This window comes from Homo sapiens, chromosome 2 (assembly GCF_000001405.40).
Source record: "Homo sapiens chromosome 2, GRCh38.p14 Primary Assembly".
Taxonomy (NCBI): domain Eukaryota; kingdom Metazoa; phylum Chordata; class Mammalia; order Primates; family Hominidae; genus Homo; species Homo sapiens.
This window is the reverse complement of record NC_000002.12, coordinates 209,838,681-209,851,970: the sequence shown is the minus strand read 5'-3', so window position 1 is coordinate 209,851,970 and position 13,290 is coordinate 209,838,681. Positions and strand designations below refer to the sequence as shown.

The 13,290-nt window shown below is 35.9% G+C and overlaps 1 protein-coding gene across 3 annotated transcripts in view; it reads right to left on the bottom strand.

Moving 5' to 3' along the window:
* UNC80 (unc-80 subunit of NALCN channel complex) overlaps positions 1-13,290 on the bottom strand; it is a 227,465-nt gene that overhangs the window by 147,326 nt on the left and 66,849 nt on the right. For 2 of the 3 annotated variants that reach the window (NM_032504.2, NM_182587.4), the window contains exons 19-22: positions 12,535-12,749; positions 11,323-11,429; positions 9,525-9,621; positions 2,348-2,520 (exon numbers count right to left, since the gene is read on the bottom strand). In NM_032504.2, the coding sequence (NP_115893.1) occupies positions 2,348-2,520; positions 9,525-9,621; positions 11,323-11,429; positions 12,535-12,749 (592 nt within the window). The remainder of the gene's footprint in view (positions 1-2,347; positions 2,521-9,524; positions 9,622-11,322; positions 11,430-12,534; positions 12,750-13,290) is intronic. The other variant, NM_001371986.1, reaches the window with a different exon arrangement.

Here is a 13,290-nt window from a genome sequence, read left to right as displayed (position 1 = left end):
CTTCACTTTCCTAACCACGTTTAAGCTATTGGGTATAAAATATGGAATTTATTATTATTGCATGCTTTAAAGTAAATGGTCTCACATAATATTTTAATAAGAGAGTCAGTATGGTAGAATACAAAACTGAAGGGCTTGGAAGATAGACCCGGGTTCCAGTCTGGCTCCATCCTTTGCTGACTTTGTAGTCCTGCCTATTAATCGGTCTTTCTGAGCTTCAGTGTTTTCCTTTGGCAACACGGTGGGCATACAATAAATACTAATCATTCATCAATCAACCTTAGAATGCTGTACACTAAGACATCCGGAAAAAAAATCACTATACAAACACAATCTTCATTGGAAAAAGGGAAAAATAGGTGCAGCCCTCCAGTTGAGTTTTGTTGTGTTATCACTAAGAGAACCATGCCTGTCACATAGGAATCCCTCAAAAGACATTTGCTGAGTTAATTAATTATTATATGGTGAGTATCTTATAACTCACATTGACTCTGGGCTTCTAAATACCACCACCCTTTCCATTTGATGTATTTGATATGTAAAGAACTGCTACTCTCCCTCCCCGATTATATACAGTCCAAAATTACTTACTACTCAGGGAGGAGCTGAGGAGTGCTCCACTCACCATCACTGCTCTCATTATTAACCAGTTAGTCCAAGAATTCCTTCTGTCCCCTAATCAAATCCTGCTGCTTACACCAGTAGTGACACTGCACGTGGTGTCTGATATCTTCCACTCATATCAGCACTTTCAAATCATTGCCAACCTGAGAGCTATAAAGTAGGAATCTGTGGCTATTTTAATAGGTATTTCTTTTTCCTTTTTTTTAACTTGTAAATTAACAGAGCATTTCTTAAGTTCAAGTAAGATGAAGTGTAGTTTACTGACTATTAGTATTTTTGGTGACTGGCTGTTCATATACTTTTCCATTGTTTAAGTGTTTGTTTGTTCTTTTCTAATGAATTTGTTGCATTTATTTATTTTAATCTGCTCCTTTGGGAACAGAGCAAGATGTGATTAAGACAAACCATGCAGGACTCAAAAGAGTGACAGCTAAGTTTCCACTATCCCACCTAGAAAACAGGGGATTGGCTCCTTGCCTTGTCAAGCTCTCCTGCTTTAGACAGACATCTCACTGTACTTTGATTGTTTAATTGCCACAAACCCCAGCTCTCCTGGAGACCTGTGATTTTCTACATTTTACAGTCACCATGGCACATATCAACACACATTGAACATGATGCAATTTTTAAAAAATTCTCAAAGGTCACTACCCAATAATGAGAAACTGACTGAAAAAAATCTTATATAACGGAAAGCAATCATTTTGGGTGATTATAAGTGGTATTAATATTTCAGCCTTAAGTGAAGCCACATACCTTGCTGGTCACTAAATATCCTTAGAGCAAAAGCTGCAAATGTCACAGAGAAATTTCATGAATTACATTATAAGGCTTGGATTATTTTCCAAGGTAAAATATGAGTGACCACTGGTCACTTATTCATGTGTCATAAAACCCGAAAAAAGGATCATTTATTGGCAGGCTTAAAGTTTTTTGTTCTAATAAAAATCTATTTCAGTTTGTCTTCTTTAAAAGTTAAAATAAAATACTTTTTTTCCTGATGTTTACTTGGTATTTTGTACCCAGTGTTTATGCATCATATGAAGACTTTATAAATAAAGATAAATAAATTGAGAGGCTGAGTTCAAAACTCACATGTGGGCCTAATTTACCTGATAAAAACACTTTCTAACCAAGATCCACTTCATACTCTTTAATCCTTTACACGTGTATAATAGCACACAATGTTCAAAGTGTTTGTGCAATTCATTTCAATTGATCTTGCTTCATATTTTTCCTCCAATTGATGGATAATGAAATCAAGGCTTGGTGAGCTTAAAGGACTAATACATGGCAGACATAAGACCAATAATATAATAATAATGGCCCACTTTATTGTGTAGTTCCTGTATTTCAGGCACTGTGATGAGGGCTTTATATCTAATATCTCATTTAGTTTTCGCACTAGCCCGAGGAGGAAGCTATAGTATTGTTATTGCTCTTACACTCATTTTACAGAGGTTCAGGTGGTAAATGTCAGAGTGATTTTAACTCAGTCAGTCTGATTCCAGAGCCTTCACATATTTAGACAGTCTATTTCCCAGGGCATATTAATTAAGATTTTTCTCCCTTTTTCACCATCTTTCTTCCCCCTTTTATCACTAATTCTGAAAAAGCAAACAAACAAACACAGGAGGATTACAATTGGGGAATCATGCTTACCTCTGTTAATAGTGCTACTTGGGATGGGGGGCAGGGTGGGAAAATTCTTTCACCAACTTACTAGATCCAAGGCAGCTGCTAGGATGGAGGCATCAGGAATTGTCCCTGGCTCACAGCAGTTTAACAGAAATTGGAAGCGTTTCATGCCTTGTCGGATTGCTCCAAGATTCACCACGTTTTTGCTTTTTCCACCATCTTGGTTGGGAGAGAGATGATCATCAAAACTGTGGCAACCTGTAAAGGTGGTGCCATGGTGGAGGAATGAAAGAGAGAGAACGTAAAGGATCACAGGTTTAAAAAGAGTTTCAAAGATATAACAGTGTGTTTTCTACAGTGTTGGCCAGAAAACTTTCTCCTTCACTCCACTTCCTTGCTCTCCACCCTAATGTTTGATTTAAACACATCCTGACTTTTGGGAATCTGGTGACACATGACATATGAAAATGTAAGATTTTACCTAAATATTTAAATACAGTGTTTGATCATTTTACTTGCAGGTCTTCTTTTGAATACTAGTAAGAGCTTTTGGTGTATTTAAAATTATTCTTCCTGTAATCAACAACTTCTGTTTTTATGGAAGTTGCAATCACTGTGCAATTTCAGATCTGTTACAACAAATTGATACAGCATTGGTACAGCATTGTGTATAATGTGTACATTGGGTACAGCATGCTGTACAAATTGGTACAGCACTGTGGTGAAAGGAAAAACCTTTTCTCAGTTACAGTGCAAAGAATCACTGGCTACTGGAGGTCCAGAGTTAGGGTTACCACTCTAACAATTTGCATTCATAGTAGATAAAAGGGGGTGTTTACAGTTATGGGCCTGGGTTTACCATGACAGTGCACCACATACAAGGATGTCAACCACTATATCCACTAATGGAAAAATGCGGGAACCTACTCTATCAGGGGACACATCCTTTGGAAGCAGTTTAAGCCTGGGACACAGATTCATTTAGACTTTATTACCACCAGATTTAAAAATTATGGCAAGGCATAAAAATAATTACCAATCTTGGTCTACAACTTTCACAATGACTCAATCGTATTGACGTATGTCAGTATGAAATAACATGATGTCTGTGATTTGTTGTACAATACATTTAAAAGAGCATGAAAGATAGATGAAGCAAATATGGCCATTTCTAAATTATTTTTGCAAGTGTGATGAATATTTTGCATCCATTGAACCATTCTCTTTACTTTTTGCCTACGTTTGAACACTTTCATAAGCTCAAAAATGGCTCAGAAGATAAAGTATCATTATTGAAATTTCCTATATTTCATTCTTTATGGTTATGTTTCTTTTCCAGATGCAAATATTCCATATTCAAAAGTTCAAAATTCAATACCTTCAGTGTTTTTTTCCAGTTAGTATAGCATATTTTTTATCATATGCAAAAGGAACTACCATGAGAAGAATCTGATGGTGGAAAAAATTCAAAAGACAAAATCTCAAATGATACAAAGAAGAAAAGCTATAGACGAGGAACAAACAATTCCAGGAGAGCCTTGTTTTCAAGCAGCTCCCTTTCAAAATGCTACTCTATTTCCTCACTGGACATTACCAAAGCTACTAGAACAGGTAAATTCCTGTTATTTTTTATAACTATATGTCACTTTATTAATCATTTATATATACCCCTTTAATAGTATATAAAGTATACTAATATGTATACCAAAGGATTCTCATCTGTTAAAAAGTATAAACAGTCCCTTAAACTTTGAATTAAAGAGACATTTCAAATAATAAGATTTTTCTTTTTTGTGAATCCAGTTGTTTTATTATTTGTTGCTATAATTAAGATTTAAAATACATTAGGTAATAACTGCCTAAAATTTGTAATGGAATTAATATATAAGACCAGATAGATGATCAATGAAGTTATTCTTATTTATCAAATTTATTAAGAACAGTTGAGATCATTTTATTTAAGGAAGCATGAAGAATATGTATTTCACAAATTTCTTCAATTTTTATTTGACAAGATTACCAATTTCAAAAGAATTGTATTCAATACTACTAAAAGAAATGCCATTTTAATTGCAAGAATTTCAGAAATAATGCAGTTAAGGGATGTAGGTAAAATAATGAAGAGAGAAGTCATCAAAACATTCACTGACAGCAAGAACCTATATTCTTTGCTTCACAGAATAATATATATTTATTACAGGTCAGAAGATCAGCAGAATCCTATAAGCACAGGACGTAAGAATCATGTTATTAATAAAAGCTAATTATAATGGACATTTTCCATTGTATTTATATAGCATTGTATTTATATAGCATTAATAGATAAGAATATATTTTTGATATATTTTGGTACTATTTTTGAGCACTTAGTATATCCCAAGTACTGTATGAAATATTTTATAATTAATTTTCTTTATTTTTTGCCATAGCCCTATAAGATAAGTTTTTAAAATTATTTTAAAAGAGAATGTATTTTTGGGGTGTATGGGTCTGTTGGTGAGGAGAGAGTGGTGGACAGAGACAGAGAGATAAAGAGAGAAGGAACAGGTGAAGGAACAGGTTAAGTAGCCCAATCTGTTTATACAATGGACAGTTATAAAGGCAAGATTTAAATTCAGATCCACTGAGAGTGCACAAACCTGCACTCTTACCACAATGCCACAATGTAATCTCTAAAATACCAAATGTTTATATGGAAGAAGGTCAGACTTTTATACTCTGCTGAAGGTAGTGATCATGTTAGAAAAACTTAATGTAAGAAATAATTCCTCATTGTACATATTATATTTCTTGGGTTTTCTCCTGTATTTTTAATGATACACTGATGATAAAATTGTATCCTGCTGGCATTCCATATTGTACTACTAAAAGAAATGTCAAAAAGTAATTTGGCTGCAAAATGTATTTTTTAATCAATTTTTTATAGCAATACACTAGGATGTAAGAATGCCTCTTGGCTTCCTTAGACATAACGATTACTTTTTTAGCCTCAGTATATTTTAGCTGCATTTGTTTAATATTTATTTTTTATGTTGAGGTGTATATTGAGGTGTAATTATAATTCTATTTACGTAGAATGCATTTTTATAAGCTTTTAAATCCAATAAGGGATGTATAAAAATATCCTACTTGTTTTTTAATATTATTTTTAGTTGGCAAATCATTATCATATACACTTATGGGTACAAAGTTTCAGACATATGAAATCTAGTATTTCCTTAAGCAGCATTTCCCATTGTGTTGATGGCACAGCTGAGAACATACAAGATGTGCAGTAAACGTGTTGATTACTTGAAAAAAATTGTTTTAATTGATCAAACACCTTCCCTCAAATAGAGACAACATGATTTTTAAAATGAAATAATTTCAGTGAATATGAAAACACAAAAGAAAAAGCTGATTTCTGAATGTAATTTCAATTCTATTTCATGTTCACCAGATACAGTTTTTATTTATTGAATAACTTTTAAATTTTAAAGAAATTCTATTGGCATTTCATCTCAAATCAGTGAAGTTAAAGTACTGCATTTAAACTGAGGGTAAGAAGGTTTGATGTTTGTTCTCTTTAACAACTTTAAAGAAAGAAACAAAGAAATTCTGTAATTAAGATAATTTAGATGAGAAAAGACAACACATCTATCATGGTTGGGTACGAATCATTTATACACATAGATTGCAAAGGAAAGAAAGAAAAACAAGGAAAGAAGGGAAGAAAGAAAAGAAAGAAGAGAGAGAGCAAGAAAGAAATCAAGAGAAAGAAAAGAGAGAAGGAAAGAAAGGAAGGAATCAGAAAAGGAAGTAAGGAAAAAAGCAGGCTCAAAAATAGAATGATGTTTGCGCAATAAAGGGCAGTAGTTGTTGCAAAATACAATGTACTTAGATAAGCAGATAATGTTGTTTAAGCTGGAGATACTCATTTTCTGCAAGCAATTCCAAAGGAATATCTTTTTTATAATTTTTAAAAAGCAAGAGAACATAGGCAAAGAATAGTGATATACAAGCTATATTCTCTTGCCAGCCCAAAGCACATAAAATATTCCAGATAACAATCTCAAATATTATGGCTTTGTTTTCTAGACATGCAAAAATAAACTGCATTTCAGGTATTGTTGACACAAACTCATTGTAGAATCTGGCTCTATGAATATTCCATATCAGATCTTTTGAATCTGTGAATGGAATACAAAGAATATACGAAGCAATGGCTAAAATCCGTAGGAATCGTGGTAATAAAAACACAAAGTCCAGAATGAACTAACATTTGTAAGAAATGGTAATGATAATGTGTTTGGAACATGAATAAGAAGAGAATGTAGGAGAATTAAAAGGAGAGTGTAAACAAGTCAATTATGCTTTTATCTTTTCCACCAAGGAGAAAAATCTACAAACGGGGAAGCATAGTGCCATAATCAGGTCAGCTACAATGAAATGCCATAGACTGGGTGACTTAAAACAACAAACATTTATGTCTCACGGTTCTGAAGGCTGGAAGTCTGAGATCAGGGTGTCCGCATGTTCGGGTTCTTGGTGATGGCTCTCTTCCTGGTTATGTCCTCATGTGGCTTTTCCTTGGTGTATGCATGCAGAGAGACCTTATGTCTCCTCCTTTTTTTTTTTTTTTAAGAAGGGCATTAAAATCGCATCACAAGTGCTCCCCTTATGACCTTATCTAAACCTAATCACCTCCTAAAGCCTCCACCTGTAAATACTATCACTTTGGGGATTAGAGCTTCAAGACAAATTTTTGGAGGATATACACATTCAGTTCGCAGCAGACAGAAAAAGTTCACTTAAGAAGAAATATTAGGGCAGGCATGGTGGTTCATGCCTGTAATCCCAGCACTTTGGGACACTGAGGTAGGAGGATCACTTGAGGCCAGGAGTTCAAGACCAGCCTGGGCAACATAGCAAGATCCCCCCACCCCCATCTCTACAAAAAATGTAAAACAAATTTAGTGGGGCATGGTGGTGCATGTCCATAATCCTAGCTACTTGCAAGGCTGAGGCAGGACGATCATTTGAGCCTGGGAGTTTGAGGCGGCAGTGGACTATGATTGTACCATTGCACTCCAGCATGGGTGACAGGGGAAGACCCTGTCTCAAAAAGAAAGAAGGAAGAAAGGAAAGAAAGAAAGAAAGAAGGAGATTTGGAAAGAAAAAGGAAGGAAGGAAGGAAGGAAGGAAGGAAGGAAGGAAGGAAGGAAGGAAGGAAGGAAGGAAGGAAGGAAGGAAAGAAAGAAAGAAAGAAAGAAAGAAAAGAAAAGAGCAAGAAAAGAGAAAGAGAAAGAAAGAGAGAAGGAAAGGAAGGAAGGAGAGAAGAGAAGGAAGGAAGGAAGGAATTTTGAAAAAAGAAGAAATATTCACCAAATGTGAGAGACCCTACATTCTTTGAGTTTAAGCCTCAGTTATACTTTAGTGCATAAAGAGAACTTAAAGATGTGATTGCAGCTCCAGTCAAATGACATCCAGTTAGCATGACACATACCTGGAGAACACACTTTAGTTCCACACTTCATTCTCAAAAAAGCACAAGAAAATTTCTTTATAATACTGACGTCTGACCGTGAGACATATTGTCTCCAAAATATCGTGAGGAGTGGAAAGAGTGTAAAAGGATTGAAAATGACAAATGTCCTGGTTATTAGGAAGATTCTTAAAACCACAGAGACTAATAAACTTGATGTTTGCCCTCGCCAAATTCTTTAAGAGATAATTAAATAGATAGGAACATTTTCAAAAGAGAAGTATCATAGGAATCACTGTAACTTCATTATGCTGAACTAAGTCATGTTCTTTTTGATAGAGTTGTAAGGATATCATAGGCATGTTTTGCTAAATTCTGGTGATGTTTCTGTAGTGATATGGGAAAGTTCTCTGATCACTAGAAAATTAACTGTATGGTTCACTAAAAATCTGTACCCACAAATTATTAATTAATCAAAGTCAAGTAGAAGTATTCTTAGAGTTACATCTTTGCATTTGTCCTGTTCAGTAATAATATGAACAACTTGGGTGAGAACAGGGGAATGTGCATGTCTCTGCAGACAGATCTTTATAGTACAAAGAAGAAAAGACAGAGTTCAATTTAGTTTTGATTCTCTTTTCATTCATTCATTCATTCATTTGCTTATTTATTTATATTTTAATCTCAAAGAGGAGTGGAAAGAGTGTAAAAGGATTGAAAATGGATTCTCCTCAAAATTATTGATTCTGTCTCTTAATTTCCTTCCTGGGGGAGTGACTTAACTACCTCCTAAGTTAATGAAATAATAAATTTTCATCATTTTTGAAATGAAGAACAAATAATGGCTATATTAAAGTATACCATGATATTCATCCATGTGAAAAAAAGCTAGCAAAAATTAATCAATACAAACCAATTATGTGATATGAAAACAGAAAATGTAATTTTAAATTGTGTTCATATACTTCATGTAGTCCTCAAGCTTAATAGTTACACTATCTACTATACTAATTAATTTTAAATATGGCATATTGCATTCCATCCTAAGTTCCACATTTTGTAGAAAAGCATATCATCTAACTAAAATACATAATAAAAAGGAATCAGAATGGTGATGGATCTAGAGACACTTCCACATAAGGAAAAGTAAAGAAATCAAAGATGTTTCTAACTAGCAGCAGTGAGATCAAAAGAGAGAACACGAAATGGATAACATATGGAGCTTGCATGATATGTGTGTGTGAGAGTGTATGTGATGTGTATGTGTGTGCATCTTGGTACAGACATCATAACTAGGACAAATGAAGCAAATTTGTGGATAAGTATGTCTTCAGAATGTAAGGAAAAATTCTCTAATAATTAAGGCTGTCTTGCTCTAGAACAGGTTGCTTTGTAAAGTTATAAACTCCCCCTCAGTGGAAGTGTGCAGAGGGTGGCTGGCCACCTTTCAGGGATATACTGAGCAGAATTTGTAAGTAGATAGGTGGGTGGATAAAAGGATCTCTGGAAGTTTTGTAAAGTTCTCAGATTTTAATAAAGGATAGAACAGCAGAAGAGGCTGGATCTTACTCTTTGAAAACCCAGTGCCCATCATGGAGTGAGGAACACAGTAAGGCTTCCATAAATGTCTGTTGAATCAAATTGCAAAAACAGAAGCTATAGACAGTGGTAAAAGGCATGTATGAGAAAGAAATGAATGAAAAACCAATGAAAATAGAAAATGGACCACTTAATCTAATCAAGTTTTTGTTCTGTGTGATAAAAGTTGAATAGAATTCTTAGGATGCATGACATTTACCAAGACGCTTGAAGAAATTCTCCTCTTCATCTCTTCCATTTTCCATGCCACTTCCTGGCCCACCTTCAGAAAGCTTCACAGCACTAGTGAATTTGACCTGAAAAAAGAAAAAAAAAGGAAAGTAGAGAGATAAGATTCAAAGGTAAATCTTTGTGGTTAGATCAACTCTTGACTTGAAAATGAGTTGTTTACTCATTTTCATACTATTACTTTGCTCTTCTGGCTTCCACATCTGGTTAGTTTGGTCATCAGTGTAGTTCATTCCCATGTGCCAAAAAAGACATCACTGTAACTAAAAGGAGGAACCAGGTCCCAGATTAAAAGCTAAATAATCAGGTGCTATAAAAATAATTGAGATATTCTTAGAGTTTAAATCTGATAAAGTCCAAACTGAAATTAATGAATAGCGAGACATAGTCATTCTTTACAAATACCACAATTGAGAATCAGACCAAAGTGAAAGATAGCTAAATAGAATACTTTAAATCTCTGTGAAAGAATCAGTATAAGGTAATTTATAGAGTGTACTATAATAAAAATGTAATAACATGTTTCTCTTTCTAAGAATTAAAATATGTTCTTCATCTTGCTTTTAGCTCAGCAGTACTCAAAATTTTTCGCACAGCAAGGAAGCTATGGGCCACACAAACTCAAATACATGACTTATGTTTTTTAGCAAATAGAAGGTAAGGAAGGAATGATACATATATTTTCTAAATATGCTATAGTCTTGCATATTATTTGTGTAATTTCAAAATATCACTTTTAAAACAGACTAGATAAAAGAAAACTGGTTTGGCTGGGCGTGGTGGCTCACACCTGTAATCCCAGCACTTTGGGAGGCCGAGGCAGGTGGATCACGAGATCAAGAGATCGAGACCATCCTGGCCAACATGGTGAAACCCCGTCTCTACTAAAAATATAAAATTAGCTGGGCATGGTGGCACGCACTAGTCCCAGCTACTCGGGAGGCTGAGGCAGGAGAATCATTTGAACCCAGAAGGCGGAGGTTGCAGTGAGCCGAGATTGTGCTACTGCACTCCAGCCTGGCCACAGATCGAGTCTCCATCAAAAACAAAACAAAACAAAAACAACAACAACAACAACAAAAACCCACAAGGAACAAAACAAAACAAAAACAACCCTGGTTTTAGTGAGATTAGAAAACAAAAGAATGCAAGCAAATAATTTGTACACATAAAAGGAAACATAACTCTTATCATATGCTGAAAATTAGGCATACAAATGACCAGGCCATGAAGCAACCACAGGGTGGACTCTCAGAAGAAACCTTACGTTACTCCAGTGCTTCACAGTATTACGAAGGAGGAGTGTAGTGAAAAAGGTCATCCCGAGATTCTTTCTTCTTTTCAATACAGACAGTGGTTCACATGGTGCCAAAAGTAGTGGGAAAAGGATGAATTATGTGTGTCTTAATATGTAAAAGGGATCACTGTAAAATTACCAGATCCTTGGACAGGAGTTTGAGATGTCAGTCATTTCATAGGTGTGTTAAAAGTTAAAAATAGCTGGGAAATAATGTCTATATACATCCCTATATCTGCATTATAATTTTATATAATTTTTTGACCACACTTTTCTTTTTCCCTTCCTATGATAGCCTACTACTTAAACAATTTAGTTTCCATTGCTTATCTAAGTTTCCAAAGTTAGCTCATCTGGAGAGTTTCTTCAGCTTTTCCTTATTTGGCCCCTGCAGGTGTTTGCTATTTCTCAGCCTTCACATGTTTGTATCAGCGACTTCAACAGTCACTTACACAAGTTATGTCCTGTTTACCTTGGAGCTTTGCCTGATGAAAGAGAGTCGGTCCACAGAGCTAATGTCCAGGAGGTCCTCCACACCATCTGCCAGGCCTGAGAGGGATGATCTCTTCAGCCAGTTCCCTATTTAATAGTTAAATCACTTAGATCAATGTAGCATTTTCTATCCAATCAATTAAACAGAAATGTCAACATAAGCCCAACAAGCGATGAAAGTTACATGGCTTGGTATAAATAGAAAAACAAATTGTTTTCAATGTACATGCTTTGAATAAAAATGTTCAGTGTTAGACTATAAAATTGCATAAGCATGTGGGACCAAGACGAAAAGAATCTGGGTTGAAAGGAAACCATCATCTATCCAGCTTCACATCTCTCATTAAAGCCTGTGAATTTTACCTCTTAAATACTTCTCAAATGTGTTCATTTATCTCTGCCTACATGGCCACCACCCAGTCCAAGCTTCCATTTACTTATACCTCACCTACTAGCTAACTTTCCTTCTGGTCTCCCTTATCTACTTATGCTCCCTCCAGTATGATTTCCATGCAGTGAAGTTTTGCAAAAAGTTTACTTGCTTGAGTTACTCTCCTGTTCAACATCCCATCTTGGCTATCTAGGGATCTAGAATGAAGAGTCAACCTGATCTGGCCCCTATCATTCTACTATAGTCATACCGCCACTTGTCCCCTTGTTTCAGTTCCTTCACTTCCCTTCAGCCTCCTAATATCTTTGCAAATAATGGCTACCTGGAGTGCTCTCCTTCCTTCTCCCAAGTATCCCGGAGATCTTAATGCCACTACCACTAGGAAGCCTTCCCTGATTTCTGCCTCCTCCCCCACATTCAGGTCAGGTCTCATTGTTGCATGCTTTCGTAGAACTATGTATATTTCCTTCATAAAATTCATAGTTTGCAATTACACTTAGTTGTATGATTATCCGCTTTAATGACTGGGGCTCCTACTATATTACAAGTTTAGCAAAGTTAGGAGGCTGTGTGTATTTGCTTGCTATTTAATCCTTGATGGCTAGTGTAGTGATTGCACACAGAAGAGGCACATAGTAGGGTATTGAAAAATACTGTGGGAAAAATTAAATGAATGAATGAATGAAGTCAGTCTAGGTCTTATGACTTGAAGGTCTTCTTTTTCGGCCCTACTATGCATCACTGAGTTGATCTGAGGACATGGTTGGTAATAAGATAATCCATAAACAAATACAGACATACTTTTACCTATGGGGAGTTTAAGCTTCTTTCGGAGGGAAATTCTGCGGGATCGTGAGCGGGCACGTCGGTCAGAGGTGGTCCCTGAGTGGGCAGTCGTGCATTCTGAAGTGTCCTGTTCAGACTGGCTGCTGGTGTCACTTGCTGCACTCTGGGACTTGAACATCTTACGCCAGAAATCTTTCCGCCCCAAGTTGGCTCCTTGCATTTGTTCATCGCTGTAGGCAAGCAGAGGATAGGGTTAAACTTCTGACAACACTTGAGAAATTCTCCTAAATTTCTTTCATCTTCCTGTCAATGATATTTAGGCAAATCATGCAAAATGATCTTTGATGGGCTGAAATGTGGGAAGAGTGGGCATTGAAGTGGGAGGAAAGAGATCAAGGTTCATCTTCTGAGCTCTTCTTGAAAATAGTCATGTCTCTGCTATGACATGAGGTGGTCAGGTTTTTTCAACTTTAATAAAAACATTAAATATTATTGCAGGTATTCATCTGCAGGTGTGAGTCATAATACCAGAAGCACTTACAATTTCACTGCAACCTCCGCCTCCCAGGTTCAAGTGATTCTCCTGCCTCAGCCTCCGGAGTAGCTGGGACTACAGGCGTATGCCACCACACCCGGCTAATTTTTTGTATTTTTAGTAGAGATGGGGTTTCACCGTGTTAGCCAGGATGGTCTCAATCTCCTGACCTCGTGATCCGTCTGCCTCAGCCTGCCAAAGTGCTGGGATTACAGGCATGAGCCACCGTGCCCAGC